Source organism: Homo sapiens, chromosome 1 (assembly GCF_000001405.40).
Source record: "Homo sapiens chromosome 1, GRCh38.p14 Primary Assembly".
Lineage (NCBI taxonomy): Eukaryota > Metazoa > Chordata > Mammalia > Primates > Hominidae > Homo > Homo sapiens.
In genome coordinates this window covers 176,889,546-176,914,675 of record NC_000001.11, presented here as the reverse complement: position 1 = coordinate 176,914,675, position 25,130 = coordinate 176,889,546, and the positions used below count along the sequence as shown (strand labels likewise).

Below are 25,130 nucleotides of genomic sequence, written 5' to 3'. Positions count from 1 at the left end.
TTTCACTGCCTGACTCAGTTTAACTCGGTTTAGTGCCATTCCTGTGTAGCTTCTGACCAAGGCAAGGCACTGCTTGCTTCCTAACTTGCTTCAGGCTCAAAATTCCTGGACTGGTTCTTCAGGACCCCATGCGGTATGACCCTAGCCTATTTATGTAAATTAATGCTTATTCTTTATCCAGTTAAAACCTCCATAACACAGAGTTAAGCTTTGTAATGACCTCTGTGGCCACCTTCACCTCTGTTTCTTTGACCTTATTGTCTCTGCCCTGAATAATTTACACTGTTTCTAACTACCTAGTCAGCGAAGCCTGCCCATTCTTCAGAACATATTCCTCCATGAGGCCTTTGGCGACTCCCCTGGGCCTCACTCATGTCCTCTCTCCTCCAAAGTCCTGTGACACTTATAGTCTCTACCATAGAATTTAGGACTGATTGACTACCCTGGAGTCAGACAGATCTGAATATAAGCTCCAACTTTTCTACTGATAATTCTGTGACCTTGGACAAAGTAATAAACCTCTCTGTTGCCCGGTTTTGTCATCTCTGAAATAGGAACTATTTTAGCACCAACCACTGAGATTCATATAGAGAACTGACAATGTTGAATTTCACCCTTCCCCATGAGACTTAGATAAGACTCATGATGCCCCCCTTGTTTACCTAAAATATAGCCAGATACACTCTTCAAATTCCCGTTGTTTGCCTTATAAGTCATTAGCTAAATTGTTTGTCTCTTCTAATCAATCACAACAAAATGCTTGTGAACCAAATGTTGGTTAAACTTTTCTTCTTCCCCCAAGCCCTTGAGCTTCGGCTCACCCTTAGCCTGAGCTGTGTATAGTGACTACTGAATGTAGGCTGGTTTCAGGTAAAACATTCTCTTATCTACTTTCCAATCATGATGCTTCTCCACACCAGATTCTTTGTAGCCTTGTTCACTTCTGTCTATAAAAGTTAAAAACTCTTTTTGTTCAACTCTAGAGATGCTTGCAGACTTTATCAGAGCATTCTTCCAAATTCAATGGCTTCCCTACCCTGCCCCAGCAATAATCGCTTAGAATAAAATTCTTCTAAATCCAAGTTTGTTTTTTATTTGACAGAATACATGCAAAGTGTTTAGCAGAGTGCCAGGGCATAGAAAATGTTTTAATAGTGAGCAGCTGTTATTATTACTATTATCACATGTTTGTTAGTCTTGTATCCCACATAGATTGTAAATCCTACCTTTACAGCTCCCACAGTACCTAGCCCAATGCTGGGCACATGCATTCATGGACGTGCACTGACTGATGAACCTATCAATAGCATCAGAAAGCCAACAACCCAATGTGATCCTACATTTGTGAAAAAACCCACAGACAGTATAAAGGACATTTTAGCTGTGTTTAGAGAAAGAAGAGGACCAAAGAAGAATTGAAATCACCACCTCCTGTAATCTTAATAGGTAATGGAGAGAACATGGCAACCCCTGTCTTCCTTCCATTCTCTCTGACACATAAAATTACCTTTAAACAAGAAGAAAGCAAGGAAGCCAAGTAAGAGAGAATTGTTGCTTAAATCAGTGAGAGAAGGAAAGAGAGAAATGGGCAACTTTGATAGAATTTGATCTTCCAGCAGGGGAGAGCAAGATCTTCAAGCATACCTGTTACCTGCAGGGGTGGGCACGACCTTCCGTGGGATCATGGATGGTGGAGAGAAGTTGGAACAAATGCTAGAAGGCTGTTCTTTTTTCTTCAAATATGGGGGAATATTATATTCTGAAAAGTAGAGCTTATTAACATTATATCTTTCCTGTGCTTGACTTGTGAAAACAGAGAATGTAGTAATCGCAGAGATCTAAAATGAGCTTGCTATGAGAAAGCCATGATAGCAAGCCTCATATTCTTTGTTAAAACTACTTTTAGATTTTTAAATTCCTTTGGCTAAAGAAAACCTACTCATTCCACCATCCCCCTGTGTTCCTTACCATTATGGGAGGTAGTATAGCTTAGTGGTTAAAAGAAAGGCCTTTGAAATCTGTATGACCTAAGTTCTCTAAACTTCATCTTGGATATCTAGAAAATGGAAATGAGTATACCTGCCTCAAAGAGCAGGTCTAAGAATTCAATGAGAATGGGTATACTAAAGCATTTATTTTTAATGAACAGTCAGGGGTCAGCAAATTATGACCTGCAGGCAAATCTGGTCTGCTACCTGTTTTTATATGGCCCTCAAGCTAAGAATGGGTTCTACCTTTTTAAATGATTGAAAGATAAAACTAAGAAAGAAAAACAATATTATGTGCCATGAACATCATAAATAAATTTTACCATCCATAAATAATGTTTTATTGAAGCAGAGCCATGTGCATTTGTTTACATAATACCCATAGCTGTGTTTGCACTACAAAGGCACAGTTGAGTAGTTGCAACAGAGACTGCATGGCCAAAAATATTTCCTATCTGATTCTTTACAGAAAAAGTTTGCTGACTTCCACCATAGATGGTAGCTCTTGTTATTAAAGATGCCTGTATCCTTGAGCCTATCCCAAAAGCTTCCTTCTCAATGATTCTTCCCTTGCATACGTCTCCTGATATAATCTGGTCCTTATTTGATATTTTATTAAAGAGCACCATCATTTGTCACATAACAACATTTTGGTCAATGCAAGCCCACGTATATGACAGTGGTCCCATAAGATCGTAATGTAGCTGAAAAATTTCTGCCACTGAGTGATGTAGCCATTGTAATGTTACAGCATCATGCGTCACTCTCATGTCTGTGGTAATGTTGGTGTAAACAAAACTACTGCGCTGCCAGTCGTATAAAAGTCTAACACACACAATTATGTACAGTACGTAATACCTGATAATAAATGGCAGTTACTGGTTTACATATTTCTGATACTATGCTTTTTATCATTATTTTAGAGTGTACTCATTTTTTAAAGGTTAACTGTAAGACAGCTTCAGGCAGGTCTTCCAGGAGGTAGTTCAGAAGATGGCATTGTTATTTCAGGAGATGACAGCTCCAAGCATCTTACTGCCCCTAGAGACCTGCCAGTGGGACAAGATATGGAGGTGGAAAACAATGCTAATGTATGTGTTTGTGTCTTCGTTTTTAACAAAAAAGTTTACAAAGTAAAAAAAATAAAAAAATAAAAATTTAAAAAATAGAGAAAAGCATATACAATAGTGTATAAAGAAAAAATATTTTCATATGGCTGTGCAATTTGTGTTTTAAGCTCAGTGTTATTACAAAAGAGTGAACACATTTAAAATATTAAAAAGTTTATGAAGTAAAAAACTTATAGTAAGCTAAAGTTAATTTATTATTGCAGAAAGAAAAACAAAAGTAAATTTAGTGTAGCCTAAGTGTCCAGTGTTTCTAAAGTCTGCAGGAGTGTACTGTAATGCCCTAGGCCTTCACATTCACTCACCACTCACCCACTGACTCACCCAGGGCAGCTTCCAGTCCTGGAAGCTCCAATCACGGTAAGTGCCCTTTACAGGTGGACCATTTTTTATCTTTTTATACCATGTTATTACAGTACCTTTTCTATGTTTAGACATACAAATACTTACATGTGTTACAATTGCCTACAGAATTCAGTACAGTAGCATGTTGTACAGGTTTATAGCCTAGGAACAATATGCTACACCAGTGATCCCCCACCTTTTTGGCACCAGGGACGGGTTTTATAGAAGACAATTTTTCCATGGACAGGTCAGAGGGGATGGTTTGGGGATGATTCAAGAGCATTACATTTATCATTAGATTCCCATAAGAAGCACACAACTAGATCCCTTGCATGTGCAGTTCACAATAGAGTTGCATTTCTATGAGAATCTAATGCCACCGCTGATGTGACAGGAGGTGGAGCTCAGGTGTTCATGCTCTCTCACCCACCGCTCACTTCCTGCTGTGCAGCTCGGTTCCTAACAGTCCATGGACTGGTACCAGTCATGGCCTGGGGGTTGGGGACCCCTGTGCTACACCATATACCTAGGTGTGTGGCAGGCTATACCATCTAGGTTTGTGTGAAGACACTCTGTGATGTACGCATTGATGATGAACTCACTTAATGATGCATTTATCAGAATGTGTCCCTGTCATTAAGCAATGTGTGACTGTGCTTATATTCTGAGTGTCTGTCTTATCTCTTCAACAAGATATTACATCCATTGAATGTAGAGATTACACATAATTCATATTGGCATATTTGGAAGACCAGCATCGTATCTTGTGAGTGGACATTCAATAACTTTGTATTTGCTCTACCCAATTGAGTGGGGTTTGTTAGGGTCTTCTGACTTTTCACTGCTGTCAACAAACTTTTTGATGGAAACAAAGCCCTGGGAGACTGAGGACGGAAGCACAAGAAAGGCCTAAAAAGATGTGCACTCAAAAACAGAAATAATAGTAACAAGCTTGAGATAGGTGCTTACCAGGATACGTGCAAAATTCCAGCATTGGTTGCTTCTTGATAACATTCGCTTCTTACTGCTTCTGAAAATAAAATGTTAGATGCAACTCAGAAATTTGGAAATATAGCAGTGAATTTTCTTATCAACCATTTAGAAGGGTTTTGTTCTCTCAGTTTTCACAACGCCATTTAATTTCCTGGAATTGGGGGTGTTTTGTTGGGGGATGGTTGCATGCACAAACATACATGCAGAGGCAGGCATTCCATTGTGTGGTTTGTTTGACTCTAGACTAGGCTTTAGTAGGCTTGTTACTGTAGGAATGAAAAATTAAATACAAAATCCTATATCGCTACAAGCCTTGGAAATAGAGTTCATGACATAATGTAGCTGAGTGGCTTATTTTCTGTATTTTTCTGTGGGTTTGTGATTCCAGACTTAGACAGTGGAAAGATACGCCCAGGGTCTTACTGATACCTAGGAGGGATAGGCTTTTTCTCTTCTCTGTGAAAATTAAAAAGAATCTAGAAATCTTGGCACTCAGTACTAACAGCTAAGTATCATAAATAGTTATTCAAGATTTAGGATGGAGGTCTTCAGAGGCTGTCATTTATATACCATTCACCCCATGCGAGCACCATCCAACTAGTGTTACATTTCAGGGAGAAATCTTTTGTAACAAAAAAGGTTGGCTTGGGGGACCAAAATTTAATTCTGTTCTGCTAGTTTTGCATTTTTATTTGAAGGAGCTAAAGCTCAGGATGATCAGCAGCATCTTTTTTACCCATTTTCCCCTTAATATAAATTAAAGGATCACCCAACTCCTAGAGAGAATGGTTGCCAGCCTTGAGGGTCCCTTTGGAACCACAGGCATCATGTCATTCTAAACAAGCATGCCTGCAACAATGAGAATGTCTGAGATGCCACCATTATGCAAAATAGCCACATCTTCTGATAGATCTCATGCATCAAAACTTTACATGGAAGCCCATTGTCACCAACTAGTTATGCATTTAACATCATCTTTTCCTTCCCTCTTTCTCAACCTGTGAGGCTGTCGGGGACTGTGTGGCTCCAGGCCTGAAGCAGAGTTCATGTGGGCCCATAGTCTGCTCCCTCCTGCCAGCACAGGCACCCAACTCGATGCTGTCAGAGACCTGGACTGGGTGAAGACTTCTTCAGCCACATTTTGGGGGGCAAGTGGTGGAGACTTTCCTAATCCTACTTTCACCCTCTGGGCTTGGCTTTGGTTCACCACCACTGTAGGAGACTTCTGGCCCCTTTATTATGCAGGAATTGGCCTCACTGGCCAATGGAGCCTTGGTGGGCTCCATTCTTGCAGACGTGAAGCCTACAAATTTAGCCTTTATTTACTACTAAATGTTCTTGTTCAGTGTCTAGTGTATAGAGATTCTTGTTTTCTTTCTGAGCATTGCTATTTTTTTTTAATTAATCACACGTTTATACCTTCTGGTTGCCAAGACTGTACTAGGTGATAAGGATAAAATGGTGAAGAATGGCTCCTACCATCAAAAGCTTACATACCAGAAGCCATGCTAAGGGCCTGGCATGTATTATCCCATTTAACCTTCAGAATAACAGTGTGAGATGAGTTCTGTTATTAACCCATTCTACAGATATGGCAACTGAAGGCCAAAGAGATTAAGCATCTTATGATGTCTCAGAGCTTTGAATGTGAACCCAAGGCTGACTGCCTTGTGCCATGAGATAAGGAATTCCAGGTGAAGACATCTTTGCCAGCTGAGGGGTTGGCCTGGGATATGATATGCTATAGCCTCTGCCTTGGCTGCTTACTCAGACATGACGGGGCTGCTGCATCTCTCTCCTGCCTTCTCCTTTCTTTCTAGGGCCAGATGTGGGTCTGCTTTCCTGATATCACCTGCTGTCCAAACTCAGGAGTCTCAGAGACTTGGTCTTCTTATAGACCATGTCCTTATTTGCCAGTGGGTGTGTGAGCCTCTGCTGGCACATTGGCTGAGCAGGGCCAGGTCTGTATGTCTGCCTGGCTGTCTGTTTGCTGCTATGGCTGCTGCTGTTGCTCCTTAGTCAACCTTCATCCAGTAATTTCTTTAATTAAAAAGCTAACTCTGTGTGTGTGTGTGTGTGTGTGTGTGTGTTGCATAAGAGAGTTAGATATTAAAGGAAGTCCTGGTGGCAGAAGCTTTAGAGGGCAAAGTAACAAGGTAGCCATCTTTATTGGTGATCGTAACTGCCAAGTGGGCCCTCCTATGATCATAACAGCTTCCACCTTCCTCAGTAGGGGCCTGTAAAGGGACCACGCAGTTATGCTGTTTTAGGTTTGTAATTGTTTTAATATCTACTGTTGTTAAAAGTGCAGGAAGGTGACCTAAAACCACAGCACCTTCTTTTGGACATAATGATAAAGTTTTCTTCATGGCAGTGGAATGGGATGAGTTGATACTGTAATCTCTTAACTCATACATGCCTTTCCAGCCATTGTCTGGAGGACAGCATTAGATCTGGCTTCTCTGTCTGCCCCTCCCTGTGTTCTGTGTTGTAGGGGTTCATCCCATTGAATGGGGCTGTCTACAGGGGTGTTGCCTTCTTCTCTAACTTCTCCAGGAAGTCCCTTCTTGACAAGAAGGTGAACTTGCATGATTATGTAGATCTATTCTTTGGTCAAGTATATAAAAGTTTTCTGACTTGCATTATTTCCCCCTAAAGCAGGACTGACTGAACAGTGCTTTTTGTCTAGAAAAATTCAAGAAGCAAAGTGCTTGTGAAGTAATACTTTTGGTTACTTGTAGGACAGTTCAGACGAACGTCAGTAGTTTTCAAATCAGGCCACTTGTACCCTGGGGATTTGAGTAGATGCTGGAATAGCTGCATCAACAATGGAGTTGTTTCTTTTTACCAAACAGTAATGATATTAAATGCCTAAGGAGTATATTCCCCCCTTTATCTGTCTTACATATTGGGGTTATTTATAAGATTTATAAAAAGCGTTCTGACCATATTTAATAAATTACCTTTGTCCAGGGTGGTGGATCTCAACATGTTATCTGAAGATGGCCTAAGTCAGAATCACTTGGAGTGCCTGATAAAATGCAGATTCTCCAGCTCCATGGATTTAGGGAAATACTGAGCAGATCAGGTCATACAATAATAGAACTTTAACATTTGCCTGTTAAAAGGAAAATAGAACTCATTCTCTGGAATGTTCCCTCTGCTCTGGCATCCCTGGCAAGTGATTGACTGGTTTCTATATGAATGCTTCTACATGAATACTTGTGCTAGTCAAGGGTTCACCATCTCTAAGGCATCTCTCCTAATTTATACCAGCTATAAACTATCACAAAAATTATCCTGAAAGAAATCACACATCTTCCTTTAGCCTACCTCCCCCACCAAAGTAGAATATTTTTTTCTTTTTTTTTTTTTTTTTGAGAGAGAGTCTCACTCTGTCACCCAGGCTGGAGCGTAGTGGCACAACTGCAACCTCCGCCTCTCAGGTTCAAGTGACTCTCCTGCCTCAGCCTCCTGAATAGCTGGGATTATAGGCACACACCACCACGCCTGGCTAATTTTCATATTTTTTGTAGAGATGGGGTTTTACCTTGTCGGCCAGGCTGGTCTTGAACTCCTGACCTCAAACGATCTGCCCACCTCAGCCTCCTAAAGTGCTAGGATTACAGGCATGAACCACGAGGCCCATCGCAAAGTAGATTTTAATACTTCCTCCTGTGTAAGCAAAATCCCCTGTCCCATGCCACTAATAACACCTCTTATCATATCATTGTCTACTCTTCTGTCTGCCCCACGCCTTGCAAACTGGAAAATGAGCATTATTTCTTATTTATCAGAGTACTTTCCTTATGGAGCACTGAGCACTGTTTCTGACACATGTTGGCACTCAGTGAAAACCTGTGGCTCAGTAAACTCTTCTCATCATTTCTCTCTTTGGATCCTAATTCTGCTCTCTGAAAATACACAGAATTCATGTGGTCCTGTCTCCATGTGACAACCCTTCAAATATTTAAAGAGACAGCTGCTAAGTCTGTCTCCAAGTCTCCTTGTATCCATTCTAAACTCCCCCAGTTCCTTCAACCATTGTTCATATAGCACTGGCTCCAGATGCCCTACAATCCTCACTGCCAGAGTCACTCTCAGCTTGAGGCACCCAGAGGTAAACCAACTGCTGGTATATGGCTTGCCACAGCACCATTTCTCTGTGTCACCTTAGTCACCAGGCTCTTTTAATTCAATCTGAGATCCATCCCTCGGCCTAGTGGCCATGGCCCTCACATCACTGGTCTCTTCCTTTTGTCCCCTTTGTTTCCTCCCATGTCCAGCTGTCTGTACCATTTGCGAATGGTACTGCAACCCAGTCAGAGCCACATGAATCTCCCTCACCAACCAGTTTGGGTTGCAGCTCTGGGTGAAACCACATCTCGTAATGAAAGCTTCATTAAGGCTGGGAGAGGCAGCTGCAGAGACCAGAGTATTTTAAAACAGAGGGCACAGGTCACCGAGAGGTGAAAAGAGCCTGATCCACTCAGCACATTTTAAAACTCAAGAGATGAGGACTAAGCGGTGAGAGAACCGTGCAGAATCCCAAATCGCCACCAAGAGCCATGTCTATTTGGGCCTGTGGCTCCAGCAGGCAGGGAAGCAGCATAAATTTCAGTGAGGCAAAGCTAAATGGTAACAGACTTTAAGTTCTGTCAGATATAGTTAATTTGCAGAATAAATTGGTCAGGGCAGCAAGAGGATTTAACATCCAAATCCATTTTAAAAACAGAAGCCAGATGAGTGTCCAGAGGAAAATGGAGACTCTTACAACATTCCCTTGCCGGTTGGAGTAGTATTATTATTGAATAATATTTTTATTAAAAATTTCTAGACCATTTGGTAGTTAAAGATATTTATGAGCCAGCCTTTGCAGCATCTCAGCAAGGCATTGAATTTTCCGCTATGGTGCTGCCTAAGCTGTGAGAGACACCCGCCTGCATAGACTCATATCAGGCACCCTCACACAGACACAGGTCATGTTGTAACATTCAGCTGAGTGTTTGTACTGTGGAGCTGGGGCAAGTAATGGCAGTTTGTCAGTTTTACCCTTTGTAGAACTATCCAGGTGTTCCCTGCCCTGTGCTCTTCTTGTCCAGATTTGAAGGTAGGAAGAAAAGAGAGATGTTGAGGCAGGAGCTGGATCTTATAGGGAAGGAGAGGTGGAGAACAGATAAGCACGCAGGGGTGCTCTGAGAGGTAAATGGAGTCATAAAGAGAGCATTGCTGGGCTGATGGTTCTGCCCAAACTCAAGGGACTCATGTGCACTCCCTATTGGAGAAATAAATGCCGCAGGGTAGATAGAGAAAAGCAGCACTAATTCCACTCTGTAGCTCAGTGGGGCCTTCAACATCAGCCGAGGTCCAGGCTGATGCTGGGCGCCCCTTCCTCAGCACGCTCTCTGCCTCGGTCTTGCTCTGCCACAGTTGCCGTGTCCTGGGCTATTCCTGAGAGCTTTCCAGGCTCCTTCTTTGGGAGGACCAGGAAAGATGGGAAGCATTTGCTCCTGAGTGGTCTGGGGATGCACACTTGGCTTCTCAGCTCAGCCTCCCAAGCAGGAACAAGGCTGGGGGCGCGGAGGAAGCCTTAATCTCCAGACAAGTGCACGGGAGGCTCTTTCCTGGCAGCGTGCTGAGCATGCCCACTCATTCACGTTGTCTTTCTGCTAATGGAGATTTGGAAATAGCAAATCCCGCAGGTGTTCCTCATTTTCGCCTCTCTCTCAGTGTCGTCCTCTCCCCGCACTCCCTCTCCCCATGCTGCTCTGTCTGTGGCGACACAGCAGGGATAATCCAGCACAGATCTCCACATCCCGGAGCTGTGACTCCGAATCTCTATGTCAGGTTTATTTTGACTTTGACAAGAAGCTGCACACAGCTGCTGCTCGGCAGCAGGACAGCAGGACGCCGATGGAGCCGGGAACTTCTTTTCACTTCCCACTGCCCTTAAGCCCTGGGAGGAAGCTGAGGGGATGGACTGCAAGCCCCTACATGGCCAATAAGTGAGTCCTCACAGGCTGTGGGTCAGGGAAGGGCTCTCCCGCCAGTGCCACAATGTTAAAGGCTATGGACACTGTCGTGGCTGGAACAGTGTCCTTCCAAATTCATGCCTGCCCGGAACCTCAGAATGTGACCTGTTTTTGCAAATGTAATTACATTAAGATGAGGTGACCCTAGACTACCTTCAACGACTAGTGTCTTTATAAGAGAAATGAGGGGGAGATTTGGACACAGACACACAGAAAAGAAAGCCGCGTGATAACTGAGGCCAAGATTAGTGTGAGGCAGCTATAAGCCAAGGAGTGCCAAGGACAGCTGGGAGCCACCAGAAGCTGGGAAGACACAAAGAAGGATATTTCCCTAGAGTTTTCAAAGGGGGCATGGCCCTGACCACACCTTGATTTTGAACTTGAAGACTCCAGAACTGGAAGGGAATGCATGCTGTTGTTTTAAGTGCCTCAATTGCTGACGGTTTGTTATAGCAGCCCTAGGAAACTAAGAGGAAGGGATTTGATAAGAACAAGAGCCTTGGTGATTAGCTCTGAGTCACAAGAAAGGCATCTGGTGAATCAAAAAGGAGGAGTGTAGGAGGCAAATGAAAAAACGGAATCAAGTACACTTAAAATTGCCATACGAAAGGTTTCAAAATGTAGGTATAAGATAATGCACACACAAATTTACTACAATTCAGCTGAGACAGAGGGAGCTCCTGCAGAGTACCGAGTGCTAGGCTCTAAGGACATGCAGAGGGGTACATCCTCACTTCGCCCTGGGAGTGAGTGGGACAGAGGCCATAAAGCCAAGCACTGGCACAGCGAGGTCCGGGCTCCTCTGGACTCAGGCACAAAGTACCAGTAGAATTAGTTCTGCAAGGAATGATGGGAGCAGAGTAGCTCTCAAAAAATATATGGGAAGAAATGGGGAGAGAGAGAGAGAGAGAGAAGGAAACACTTTATAGGGTGTGCAAAGGTGGAGGCAGCTATGGTGTCAGCTTGGTCTCCCATACTCCCCCACGTATATGTGCTTAGCAGATGCTTTAGGAAAATCCCATGGAGGTGCCTTACATTCCCAGCCTTGCCTATGGTGAGTTGTCATGAGGCTTTGGGTTGTCATTTGAGGAATTTTAGGCTAAATCCCCTTTGCTTCTCTCCATCCTGATGTATTTCTTGAATGCTTCCAAGTGTAAAGCACTGGGTGAGAACCATGGCAACTCAAGCATAAGGCAGCTTCTTGCCCACTGGGAACTAACAGTCTAGCTGATTAGAAGACTTCCTTTGAGGAGTGAAAGCTTTAGGGCTTCCCAGCAGTTCTTGGATTTAATTCTTGTTCCTCTTAAGATGCATGGGCTGTGTAGAGCTGGATCTCAGGAATCCTTACAGAGGTGTCTGCCTCGCTGAGCAATTTGTTCTTTATTTTTTACACTAAGTTTGTGATTCATAAAGGGATGCAATTGGGGTCACAGCTAAGTTTCAAAGGCTGTTTTTGTGTTTTATTAATCTCTTAGAAAATTCTACTATCCCATCATTTCTTTGACCCAACCTCTCATTCCAAATGGAACTGACCATTACTGAGCAGAAAGAAGCATACGGGAGGCTGTTTAGTCAATTCGTTATTAAATTCACTGTTCCATGCCAATGCTGACTAACACCTTTTGGCAAAGGCAAACCACGGCATCTACACCAAAACCTCAGTTTAACATAAACCTAATTAGCCGGGAACCTCAACCAGACCGTTATTTGTTTGACAACATGCCTATTAAGAGGGAAAATCTTCAGAAAATACCACCGTATGTTATCGATCAATTTTTAAAAAGCTGTTCGGGGTATAGATACCATTTTTCCTACAGCTTCCAAATCCGCATAGTCATAATTGATGAATAAAACCATCACCTGGAGGCTCCCTGGGGAAAGGTTTAATGCTGTTTGGTAGGCAACGCTTCATGAGGCAGGCAGGAAATTGGAAAACTGCATTTTTAGAAAAGAAAAACGTCAACAGGGATTGGAGGGAACGTAAGCATTTTCTGGGTAAGTATCAATTAAACAAAAAATTCATTTTTCCGAAAGACATCTTTTCTCGAACATTCCAGTTAATGACATTTTGCGGAGGTGCCCTGTGGGTATCTGATGGCTGCTAATTATCTCAGTGGACCTTACAGTACCTATAGATACTGCTCTTGAGGGACCGGCTGCAGGGCATGATTATGACAAAGACTTCTTGCTAGTTCCAGAAACTTCTTGAACAATTACCAAAGAACAGGGTCTGAAGCATATAGTAACCTTAATTTTGGAACAAAAAGTACTGGTACATTCTGACAAAAGATTTGTTTTCAACTTGTGCAAATTCATTTGTGAGAAGGGACAAGAACATAAACCCTTTGGATTCGGGACTATTTCTGGATGTGTTGGACAGTTGTGAACCACTAGTTTTTCCATTATTTAATCCCAAAGAAAGGTGTGTTTACTCTGAGTTGATGAGTAGCTGAATGTGAGGCTGGAGACTGGGAAGGGCTCCTTGTGTGCAGACTGAGACTGGGCAGCATAGCAAAACTGCAGAAGACGCAGGGTTTCATGCTCCATCACATGACCATCCTTGGGTTCAGATTGGCACTCTCTTGCTACCACAGCCACTGCCTTTTTTGCTGGTGATGGAGAGCATATATGCCAAATCCCAGTATGACTGCAAGTACTTTTCCTCCCGGAGCTACATCCAACTGCTCCCACAGGGAGAAGTTTACCTTTCACCCCAGCTGCTCTTTGGTACCCGTGGTTTCACTGACCCAGGACACCAGATATACCCTTTTGCCACTTTGTGACATTATTGGCTACAAGTTTCCCAGATTTTCTCACCATATTGAACCACACTGTCTGCCCTTCAGCACAAGACCTGGCTGCTCCCTTTCTTAAGCTTAAGTGCTCACATCCCAAGGGAATTAATGATCTTTGAGATGTGTTTGTATGTTTTAGAAAATTTGCAAAATGAACTTTTTGCAGTCTTTCCCCAAATCTCTGCAACTAGGTTATCTTTGAAGAATTCCTATTTGCACCCAAAAGTAGTAGAACCCACTCTGGATTGATGCCCCTCTTCTTAAAAGAACCCAGAGCATCTCAAAAGAACCCAGAACAGCAATGCCCCAGACGAATTTAAACCCATCCTATCTAGTTTGTACCTGCAGAATATATAGTGTAGTCATTTTGTATGCAAGTCTTTAGACATGATTTATTAAGTCAACAAACACTTGTAGTCATTTAATGAATATTTGTTTAATGAATTGTTGAATACATTAGTGTGTATTACATATAAGGCATGTGGGATATTATAGTGGAGAACAAGGCATAATTTTGTCCTTCAAGGCACCTGCCATCCGATGGTGTTGGTGGTGAGCAGGGCAGGTAAGTGAACAGGCATTGAGAGAATAAGTAAATTTAGAAAGCACTCAATATATCCCAGGCTCGGTTCTAAACTGTCTTTGCGAATTATATTAGTTAGCCTTTCCTACACCTTTACTAAATCAGTTCAGTTATTATCTCCAGTTTATGTATGAGAAAGTTCAAACACAGGAAGATTAAGAAATTCACCCCAAATTACACAGTTAGCAACTGGTAAGGTCAGAGATCAAACCCAGGCAGTCTGCCTCAGGCCACACACTTTACACAGCCCTTGAGTGGCCGTGGGCATGGAGCAAGAGAAGTGGATGGTGTGGGGCTAAAATGAATGTAAATTTCATAAGATTAGTTGATGGGGTGGGGAGAAAGAGAGAGAGAGAGAGAAACACACCAGCAAGGAAGCTGTAATTTCTGACTTGAGCAACTAGGAAGTTAGCAGTGCGTTTTGCTGAGTTAGGACCTGCACGACGAGGAATAGCTGCTGAGGAGAGTACGGAGGAAATGACGACCACAGTTTGGGACATGTTGAGTTTGAGGTGTCTGTAGGACATATAAGTAGATGTCCAAGCAAGCATATTGAGGTTTTGTTACTTGTGGGAGAGATCCTGGCCAGGTATATAGACTTGGCTGTCATCAGAATAATGCTTTCTCCTTTCTTCTTTACTGTTTGATGTGTTAGTAAAGGACTAGAGAACTGTTTACAAATGGTTTGGTTTTCTTCTTTGTGTTTGACTTTTTGTAAAAATGTGAACCTAAGATCATGACTTAATATATTCACTCCAATATGTTCATGGATATATGGAGATAGATATGTAGAACTAAACTAGGCAAAGACGTTTCAAAGGTAAAAAAGACATAGTTCCTGACCCCAAGGCACTTATTATTTCATGTAGAAGTGGAGAAAAAGATGGTCAGTTTATGTCCTATCTTCTTTTCCCTAATTATTAATCCATTGCATTGTGTTTTATTTGAGCTCAGAGAGTATGTCATCATGGCAGGTCTAGCAGTTCATTTTAAGTCCATAGTGATCTCTCTGTCCAAAGACATGATTGTACATCCCAAGAGACTGATTAGAGACTGGGTGGATAGACTTCTGTGTGAATTTTGATGACTCGAGGACATCTGGCTTGAGCAGTAGACTGGGGTGGGGGTTGGGGTAGATCCTGGAATGCAGGGTTTTGGTGGGCTTCAGGGTGGCTGTGCTTCATTTGCCCCACATCAAGCCTTCTTTCCTGTAGATCCTAAGCTGTCTCCAAAAGCTGGGATTTGATTAGCTTGCATTTGATTTCTTTGCTGCCTAATGAACTGCTTCTGTCATTCTAGCCGTGATGTCATTAGCATCTCATTGCCTTGGGCAGCAACTCAGGAGAGAGATTCTTAAGCAGCCTCAGAATCCTATAGGAATTGTACCAATTTACTTCCTAACAACTAATTCACCTCATGGCCTGTCAGTTACCACCAGAAGAGCAGACCCTGCATGAGAATGGGCCGGTCACTTTTGTCACCCTCATGTGCTCCTGAATTTAGGTGGGCCACTATATACATGCCTAAGGCCATGTGCACATCCACAATGACATGTTGAGCTTTAAGGACGCGATATTCTCATACCACAATATTCTATTGGGGAAACTCATCCACTGTATGCTGTAGGATACAGATTTAGCCTAAAGCAAATGACATTTATTTATAGCAAGCTGTATTTGCAAAATGCTTTGCAGTTTTAGGATTGTTAACTACATTCCAGGTTGGATGTTCTTCTATTTGTAAGAAACTGAAGTGTCCTGACTGGACTCCGGACCTTCCCTGACAACAGTGGAGTGAATTCTGCAAACAGAGGTGGGAGGGAGCCACACCTGGGTATTCTTTATCAAAAGGCACCTTTGTCAATTATAAGATTTTGAGACCTTAATTGTAGCTTATTTCTTCTGTCCAGAGAGGCAGTGTATTTATTGGACTAGAATATTTATTTTGCTAAAAGACAGCATAGTGTCTCCAACCTCTAGAGCAGTTCTACTCAGACTCTAGAGGGTAGAAGAGGGAAGATGCCCTAAAGAACTGTAATAGGTGTGGGCAGTGGAGGGGGTGAGCCATTGATTCACAAGGAAGTAAGGCAGGGTCTTCTTCTGCAACACTCCACACACAAACCTCCCCCACTGTTCACTCCCACACAGGAGGAGTTAAAAGCAACGGTCAAAGATCAGCCTCTCCTGAAGCTTTTAGGACCTGAACGACTCTCACTTACCACAGACGTGATGGTTATAGGTGCTCTCTTTGGGCTAAGGGAGATTTATCTGGGCTTTCACCATTGGACTCCATCATTTTAAAGAGTACTTCCCAATTGTATCTTTAACTGAACATAGGAAATGCATTTCTTCTTTGAAAAATCTCCCTCACACACACATCTCTATTCTTTGCTGGAAACTGAATAGATAGCTTTTGGGAGCTTGCTGCTCATCACTCCTGTGCAAATCCAGCTCCTCTCCAGACAGCCCCATCCTGTTTGGCGAGGGGACCAGAAGGCAGTGGGTCTTGGCCTCCGGCGGGGCTCTTTTTATGTGGACCTGAAGGTTTTCCGGAGACAGAAAATATGATTCTGAATTAAAACAAGAGTTTGGTGGGTTCCCTCCACGGATTTCTACATCCTTCCCATTCCTCTCTACTCCCTAATCTTGCTAGGTATCTAGAACTGAAGGGCTTTGAGGGGGATTCGCTGCATCTTGATTTTAATTGGGATCGCCAGAAAACAGTAGCAAGGGGAGCAACCCCTCAGATGTTTACAGCTATGACAGGACCCAGCGATGGCCAGCTGGAGGGCAGGAAGGCCCTCGGACCCTCAGCTCCGGAGTGTTTGTGGTCGCAGCGCCCTCTAGTGGCCGCATTTGTCATGAGCACGGTACATGCTTAGTAATGAGAGGAGGGGGCGTGGGGAGCATGCCTGGGTATTTGGGGATTTAAGGTGCGAGAAAAGGCACTGGTGGCATATTACTTCCCCTTTGAAGTAGTGTTTACTCCATGTTAAGGATATTGGGGGTAGGGGTTATTTTCCCTTCGGAATTTAATTTTCCTTTAATTATCCTGTCATCATCTATGCCCCTCTATATTTTTCTCTGTCGGGTAAATGTTACGGAATTGTTTTAGTCTCTAATTTTTTATTCTCCGGTTAAAGAAAAATTGTACCTCCACAACATTTTTTTAAAGTAGCCGTGTGTTACTTTTTCATAGTTTATTTTCTACAGTGCCAAAGTGAGATTTATCCATTTTTTTTTCCTCCCGCTCACGAAAGTCATTTTAGACTTATATCACCATCTAGCGGTCATGTCGTGGAAATTCTTTTCCCAGACTCGAACAAATTCTCAACAAGGAGGGCTGCGGGTCAGTTAGGAAATGCGTATAATTAGAAGGTGGGTAAGAGCCAACCAGGAGACCCTCAAGCCCTCTGGCAAGACTTGCATGGCGAAATTTCAATAATCTTTTTTGAAAAGAAACTGTATCTTTACTGATTTTTTTTTGGTGGGGGGGCCGGGATTTTACTTACTGCCTTTTTTTTTTTTTTTTTTTTTTTGAGACGGAGTCTTGCTCTGTAGCCCAGGCTGGAATGCAGTGGCGTGATCTCGGCTCACTGAAACCTCCACCTGCCGAGTTCAAGCGATTCTCTTGCCTCAGCCTCCCGAGTAGCTGGGATTACAGGCGTGCGCCACCATGCCGAGCTAATTTTTGTACTTTTAGTAGAGACGGGGTTTCACCATGTTGGCCAGGCTGGTCTCGAACTCTTGACTTCGTGATCCACCCGCCTTGGCCTCCCAAAGTGCTGGGATTACAAGAGTGAGCCACCACGTCCGCCCTTTACTTACTTTCTTAATGAAGTAGAGTTTGCTGACAAAAAAGCACTGGGTTTCTGAAATGCTTGAGCCCTTTTCCATACATTGCATGAAACAGCTTCAGAGAGACCACTGGGCTTTGGGGAATGATGGACACACACAGAACACTCATTCTGTTCCTCTCAGACTCATCAGAATGTGATGCTTGATAGGCTGGATCTTTGGAGGCACTGGTTGTAAGGATTTGCAAAGTGGTTCCAGAAGGTGATTATGAGCTACAACTCATCGACTTCATAAAAAGAGTTCTCTCTTATGGGGTGCAGAGAGCTCTCTGCTATTCTGTTCTTGATTGCTATGTAATATGAGCCCATTTAGAAATGCCATGAGGCATTAATGAAGGGCTGTTTGCCCAGAAATCACACCAAGGATCAAAGACCTCACCCCACCCGCACTCGCTCCGCCCAATCCGTACAGTATATTGAAAAAGATTGGGGGCCTGGTGAGGGGCTGGAGGAGGGGGGAGTCTTGGGTCAGCTTGTGGCCACTTTGCAAATACCCGTAGCCACACAGTTGACTGGGTTGCGTAAGCCTCCCTGTCAGTGAAAATTTAGTCATGGGTGAAGTGATTTGAGGGCTAGTTCTATTTGAAGCCGTCATTCTTATTTTTGGTTTGAGTAGTTATACAGTTCTCTTATAATCAAGGAAGGGTTTGAGCTTGGCTCTGGGTCGATTATTAAACAAAATGCAAGTATGCGATGAATTATATGCCATATTTATAGTCATAGAGTCCTTTGCCTTAACGTGCTAGGTAAAACTTCCTCATTGTTTCCTCTGGGAAACAACAATGCTGAAATGCCTCGTGATGTTTCTAAATGGGCTCATATTACATAGCAAACAAGAAGGGAATCACAAAGAGCTCCCTGGACCCCATAAGAGAGAACTCTTTTATAAAGTCGATGAGTCATATCTACAATCACCTTCGGGTACCACTTTAAAAATCCTTCCAACCAGTGCCTCCAAAGGTCCAGCCCATTGTCCATTGCATTCTTCATGAGTCTGAGAGGGCCAGAATGAATGTCCTGTATATATCCAGGATGTCCAAAAGCTTAGTGGTCTCTCTGAAGCTGTTTCACATTCAGGACTACAACTGTGCAAAAAGAAGTGATGAATCTCAGAAACCCAGTGCTTTTTTGTCAGCAAACACTACTTCAATCTTCCTTTAGAATTAATAAGTTAAATGGAGAATCATGAGGACTGGGAAGAGAAATGCCAAGCAGTGCTTTCTTGTATAAAGAACAAACCATTATTCTCTGGTAGGCAATTCCTATGTTTGTCACCAAAAGTAGACCAAAAGATTCTTTAACTATCCTTTACTCAACAAACAAAATTGATGTGGACCCATCTCTCAAGTTTTGGAGTGCAAATCTTTTTGAAAAAGTCAAAATTCCCTTCCCATCTTCAATACATTGATTAATAATGAAGCAGAGTTCTATTCTTCTTCCTCTCTGACCTAAAAGACTTAAGAATCAGACAAAAGTGGATTCAAATCCCAGCTCTCACAATCTACTAGCTGTGGGACCTTGAAGCTCTTGGCCTCATTTTCCTCATCTATAAACTGAGTATAATGATAGAACGCCATGCAGAGAGTTATCATAAAGGTTAAAGTAGACCTTGAATGGATCTCACTTTTATAGTACAGGCTTCCTAAATCTTAGCTATATTTATAATTAAAACTATTATGATGATGGTTTGCCATTTGTTAGCCATTGTGTTATGTGCTTTATAAAAGGAATTGCCATTCATTCATTACCCAATGCTAGACATAGATACTATTCGTATCTTTACTTCATAGATGAAGAAATTGAGTCATAGAACAATCACTGTTATGGTTTGTATTCTTGCTGAGGGTCATCAGCATGGAGCCCGATCCCTCTAGAGATTCAGTGGAGCTGATGATTCTCAGAAAAGGAACAACCTAGATTCTCACTGAAAAGGGCCATTTCCAACTCTGTGTGTCGCTGGGAGGTTGGGTGCCCCAAATTAAGTGGGATGGCAGAATCACATTCTTACCCCTTCAGTGGCTGTTTCTGATCCCAAAGATTGGACCCCAGCACTCAGGGGCCACGAGGTCATGATAGTCCTTACTTTTTTGACTCCTTCACTGTTTCTTTCCATTTTGTGTCTGCAGGCAACTCCCCATCAGATGAGTCTGAGGAGCGGGAAAGAGACCCCAAGGTGCTGACATTCCCAGAATACATCACCAGCTTGTCAGACTCCGGCACCAAGCACATGGCGGCTGGAGTCCGCATGGAGTGCCACAGCAAGGGACGATGCCCCTCGTCCTGCCCCCTGTGTCATGTGACATCCAGCCCTGACACCCCTGCTGAGCCGGTTCTGCTGGAGGTGACCAAAGCAGCCCCCATCTATGAACTAGTGACCAACAACCAGACCCAGAGGGTAAGAGGCCTGGGACTCTTGGCTCTGGGAGGCGTCAACCACAACAGAAGGCTTTCCAAATGGTGTGAGGAAGTGACAGGGTGTGGTTGAGGGCCATGCTAGAATATGGATAGTGAGGCTTTTTGTTTAGCTAATCTGGGCACCTAATTTGTTTAAATTTGCATGCTTGCATATTAATTCAAATCATTGCATCTACAACACCCACGATAATATGATTCAGGAGTCACAACTGAGCACCTGTGTAGGGCTGGAAGAAAGCAAGTAGGGAGGCACAACATTTGCCATCATCAAAATCATTGTTCAGAGAACCCTCGTGCCTTGGGGACAGTTGTGGGGAGGATGCTCAGTTCTGCCTCACTCTGGTTGGCTTGGGAGGTGGGCCAGCTTCCCTCGCTGATCCCTTAGCCTGGCCCAGCTGCAGCTGGACTAGAAGGAGCATATCAGGCACAGGTTGCAAAGGGAAGGATCTGGCAGCCTCAGCCTGGAAGGGGTTGGTTTTCTGCCTATCACTCTGGCTCTAAGAACAAAACGCCACATCCAGGCAAATCTTTTTGCCTTTCTATTATGCTGCTGGGCCATGACATTTCCCAACCACTCCTCCTTTGCCTCTGCCTCTCCCTTTCCAAAGATGCCAGGAGAAAATGGATGGAACCAAAAAGAAGGGCTGGAGAACTGTGTCAGAAGCCATAGCTCAGCCCCTTTCCTAGCTCTCCAACGTCCTCAAGGACATAGAGATTAGAGTGAGTCCAAACACAAAGCAGTAGCAACAGCAACAACAACAAAAGTAAAAACAAGGAGACGCCGGGTGTGGGACTTCTGGAACTATGGCAAAGGCAGCCTTGGGGACAAGGCAGCAGGAGTCGCAGCAGTGAGCTGCTTACCTGCCTGAGAGGTGTGCCCATCCAGGTGGGGTGATAATTGCTTTCTGTTTTCTCCTTAAGGAACACCTGGTGTTTGTTTCATAGGTAATGCCCAGACCAACAGGAGGGATTTTGTAGGTGTGTGTGTTTCTCTCGCCTACCTGCCTCAGCCACAGATATTTCACCGAGTGTTTGAAAATAAGGTTTTTCACAGGAGCAAAAAGATAAATTGTTCTCGTGGCCTACACGTTTGTCTTCAATCTGATAAAGGTGGCTACAGGAAGAGGAGTGGTAGAAAAGAGACCTTCGGAAGGATGGGTCTGAAAGGATAAAGGAAAGGCAGAGGGCTTGGGTCACCATAGAGACCCAGAGCTGCAGTGTCTTTAAGCCAATGCCCAGCCCTCTTCTTCTTCCCTTACCTGCCCCTCTTTGTCTCAAGGCTGCTGCTGCTGATACCCTAAGAGCTCCCGGGCCACTTGCCTGGGAGCAGTGGGATCAGAGAGTTCATGCAAAACCATCCTTGCAACAGGGCGTGCAGAGCTCCAGAATGGAGAAAGCATGCTGGGAGATGAGAGAGTACATCGTGCTTTCTTTGTATGATTGCAAGCAAAATGGGGAAGCTGAAGGAAGTTTGTCTTTGGCAACTCCCTTTCTGGATCCCCTACTTGGCCCTACCCCAGCCCCTTCCCTTTCTCCCTGCACCAGTTTTAAGAGATGGGTTGAGAAATGCTTTCCATCTGGCCATCTTTTGAACTCTTTAATTTCTAAACACAAAGACAAGTGGCCCTAGCTGGAGTTCAGTCACTGTCACATGTTTCTTCCTTAGACATATTTTGTCTTTGCCATCCGCTGTTCTGTTTTTCTTTCTAATTTTGCCCTTTCCTAAAGAATGGAGATGACGAGTGAAGAAGCTAAGAGTAGAGGAGTGCCAAATCATAACATTAGAATATAATTCAATGTGTGTTTTTATTTCTACCTCTGGCATATCATTGGGTCCATTTTCTGACCTTTGTTGGTCTCATTGTCCTCCTGTCGGACTAAATAATCTCTGATGCTATATTTCAGTCTAATCTGTGAATATCATAAAGAAACAAGCAAATAGGTCAAACCATATAATGAACCAGGTATCTCAAACCCAACACATTTGAACTCATCATCTTCCAGCACAAACTCATACTTGTTGTGTGGCCATGCCAGTGAATGGCACTATATTCCACTAAGTTGCCTGAACTGGAGACTAGGGCCACTTCCTAGAATTTCCTCATCATTCCCAACATCCATTTTATCACCAAGAGCCACAAATACCTCTTGAATTCATTCTCTTTTTATGATACCCCCATCACAACGTATTTCCAGCATCCTTTGTGATATCAGGCTACTATCCCATTAAAGTAATCTTCTCACTGGTCTCCCTAACAGACCACCCAGAATTATATATCTAATATGAACTTCAGATAATTTGGCATCAAAGTAATTTAATGGCTCCACAGAATCTATTGAATACAATCTAATGTCCTCAGAACATCATTATAAGGCAGCTCATGATCCAATTTTGTCTTCACTTACTTAGGTTGTTACCACTCTATATCTTATACTCTGCACTCCAATATTTAACTCTTTCTACCCCCCAAACACATTTTTTCTCATGCTTATGGCCCTTCAGACTTCAAACTCTCTGTCCCAAGAATGTTCTTGCCCACATTTCTACCACTGGAAAAGTCCTGCTGTTACTTCAGTTTCAGCTCAAAGATCACCAGCTGCCAAGAGCCCTTCCTTACACTCCTAGGCCAACCCATGTATCCCTTCATGTAATTCCCATTGTGTGTGTATCTACATCTTTTTGTTTTTTTTATTGTTGTTGTTTGTATGTTTTTGTTGTTTGTTTTTGTTTTTCTGGGTTTCTTTTTTGAGACGGAGTTTTGCTCTTGTTGCCCAGGCTGGAGTGCAATGGCATGTTCTTGGCTCACTGCAACCTCCTCTTCCCGGGTTCAAGCGATTCTCCTGCCTCAGCCTCCCGAGTAGCTGGGATTACAGGCATGTGCCACCATGCTCAGCTAATTTTGTATTTTTGGTAGAGATGGGGTTTCTCCATGTTGGTCAGGCTGGTCTCGAACTCCCGACCTCAGGTGATCCGCCAGCCTCGACCTCCGAAAGTGTTGGGATTACAGGCATGAGCCACCGTGCCCGGCTTGTATCTACATCTTTTATAGCATGCATCACCTATTATCGCAGCTGTTGACATAGTTGTTTCCTCCCCTCTAGACTATGAGGATGTTTTTCTTCTCCAGAATCCCAGTGCCTAGCAAGTGGCTGATGCATAGTTCATTTTCTGCTAAATAAATGAATGAATAGATGCATAAATAGATAAATGAATGGATAGATGAATTTAGCTTGAAGTTCAACCACTCTCCTTAGAGACAACAATAACAAAAATTGGAAAATTTTATTTCTTTCCTGGAATAAGAATTAAATCTGATAACAAATGTGGATTCCCTATGCAATGCTGGGTACATTGTAGATACTCAGACAAATGTAATTTCCCTTTCTTTTTCTTTCCAAATGGGCTCCTTCTTAATTCCTCTCTTCTATCCTCATCCAACAGTTTGCAGTTACCTGCAGCCCAGGATTCAGAGAGTAGAAACTCTTTTTTTTTTTAATTTTAATTTTTGTTTTTTTGAGACAGGTCTTGCTCTGTTGCCCAGGCCGGAGTACAGTGGTATGATCTCAGCTCACTGCAACCTCTGCCTACCAGGGTCAGGAGATTCTCCTGCCTCAGCCTCCTGAGTAGCTGGGATTACAGGCGCCCGCCACCATGGCCAGCTTACTTTTTGTAGTTTTAGTAGAGATGAGGTTTTGCCACATTGGCCAGGCTGGTCTCGAACTTCTGAACTCAGGTGATCCTCCTGCCTCGGCCGCTCAAAGTGCTGGGATTACAGGCATGAGCCACCATACCCTGCCCAGAGTAGGAACTCTTATGGAGTGGTGTGAATTGAAGATGGAAAGTGACAGCTTTTGCAAAATGACATTTAGCTTATTTGTCATCACAGGTATTTGTCCTTTCTCTTTTGGATTGAAAATCTGATCATGTTGCTCCACTGTTTTAAATACTGCAATTACTTACCAGCGCTCTTGAAATGTGGCCCCCTGCCTCACCATAACCCACAAGGCTTCTGTGTTTCAGCCCTGTCTCCCTCCCACTTGCTGAGAATGTCTTTTCTCCCTCAGGCTGTCTTTTACAGACAGACCCACCTTTTTTTCCATTGATTTTAGAAGTCAAGTTCCATCCAGGCTGGTCTTGTTGACATTGTTTTTTCAACCTGGAACACTACTTCAACTTTCATGAGTAAATAACTTTTGATCCAGCCCTCAGAGCTCAGATAAAAAGTTGCATCCTCATAGAGGCCTCCGCGTACCCTTCTGTAAGCTTATCTACCCTTCCTTGTCTCTCTTGCCACCATATGCATTCATGGCAGCTCAACCTTTTCCTTTGAGGTTCTAACCACAGGTGTGGTGATTTGGTTATTGTAACTTTGCTAGTTTGTTTGTCATCTGACTTTAAGATTTATGCAGACAGGGGCCACAGGTGTCTTGTGCATCCTCGTATCCTTAATGCTTCACGTAGAAAATGGCCCCTTGCAGGTGCTTAGCAAATAATTGTTGATTGAAGGCTCTGCAAGGCAGTAGTCACAATGTTGCCTTTATTCTACCTATCTCAAAGGACATCTGTTTTCCTAGTTTTAAGCAATGCACCTTTTAATTTTGAGTTTGGATCAGTCAGGCAAAGCATAAAGTGGGCACTTATGCACCAGGCTTCATGCTGGGAGCCTGAGTTGTCCAGTGAGTCATGTTGAACTCAGGTTCTGGCACTGCCCTTTTCACCACCCTATGACCCTGGGCAAGTCACCTCATCTCTTTGACTCTCAGTCTTCTCCACTGTAAATCATGATAACCATTCATCAAAGTGTTAGCATCAAAAAGGGCCTTGTAAATTATAAATCTCTGCACAAATGATAGTTATAATCATTCATTGGTTTCTGTTTCCTAGAGGCTTCCGATCTGGGGAGGGGGCAGGATGGACCCTTAGTCTAACTATTCTAACCTAAGGTGGCCAATGTAAAGTTCTGAAAGAATGGAACATAGGCTGCTGGCTTTAGGT

The 25,130-nt window shown here is 43.3% G+C and overlaps 1 protein-coding gene across 7 annotated transcripts in view, besides 2 other annotated features; it reads left to right on the top strand.

The window, feature by feature from the left end:
- ASTN1 (astrotactin 1) overlaps window positions 1–25,130 on the top strand; it is a 307,392-nt gene that overhangs the window by 250,037 nt on the left and 32,225 nt on the right. For 5 of the 7 annotated variants that reach the window (NM_001286164.2, XM_017001341.3, NM_004319.3 and 2 more), the window contains exon 17: window positions 19,846–20,114. In NM_001286164.2, coding sequence (NP_001273093.1) covers window positions 19,846–20,114 — 269 coding nt within the window. Of the gene's footprint in view, window positions 1–1,234; window positions 2,879–19,845; window positions 20,115–25,130 lie in introns of those variants that run through there. The other 2 variants (XR_001737193.3, XR_921796.4) reach the window with 2 other exon arrangements.
- Window positions 9,782–10,281: an enhancer, noted in NCBI's record as "H3K4me1 hESC enhancer chr1:176873531-176874030 (GRCh37/hg19 assembly coordinates)". NCBI's record gives its function as "activates a minimal SCP1, AML or CMV promoter by ChIP-STARR-seq in primed H9 embryonic stem cells {active_cell/tissue: H9 hESC(primed)}" and the evidence as "EXISTENCE:reporter gene assay evidence [ECO:0000049][PMID:30033119]".
- Window positions 10,282–10,783: an enhancer, noted in NCBI's record as "H3K4me1 hESC enhancer chr1:176873029-176873530 (GRCh37/hg19 assembly coordinates)". NCBI's record gives its function as "activates a minimal SCP1, AML or CMV promoter by ChIP-STARR-seq in primed H9 embryonic stem cells {active_cell/tissue: H9 hESC(primed)}" and the evidence as "EXISTENCE:reporter gene assay evidence [ECO:0000049][PMID:30033119]".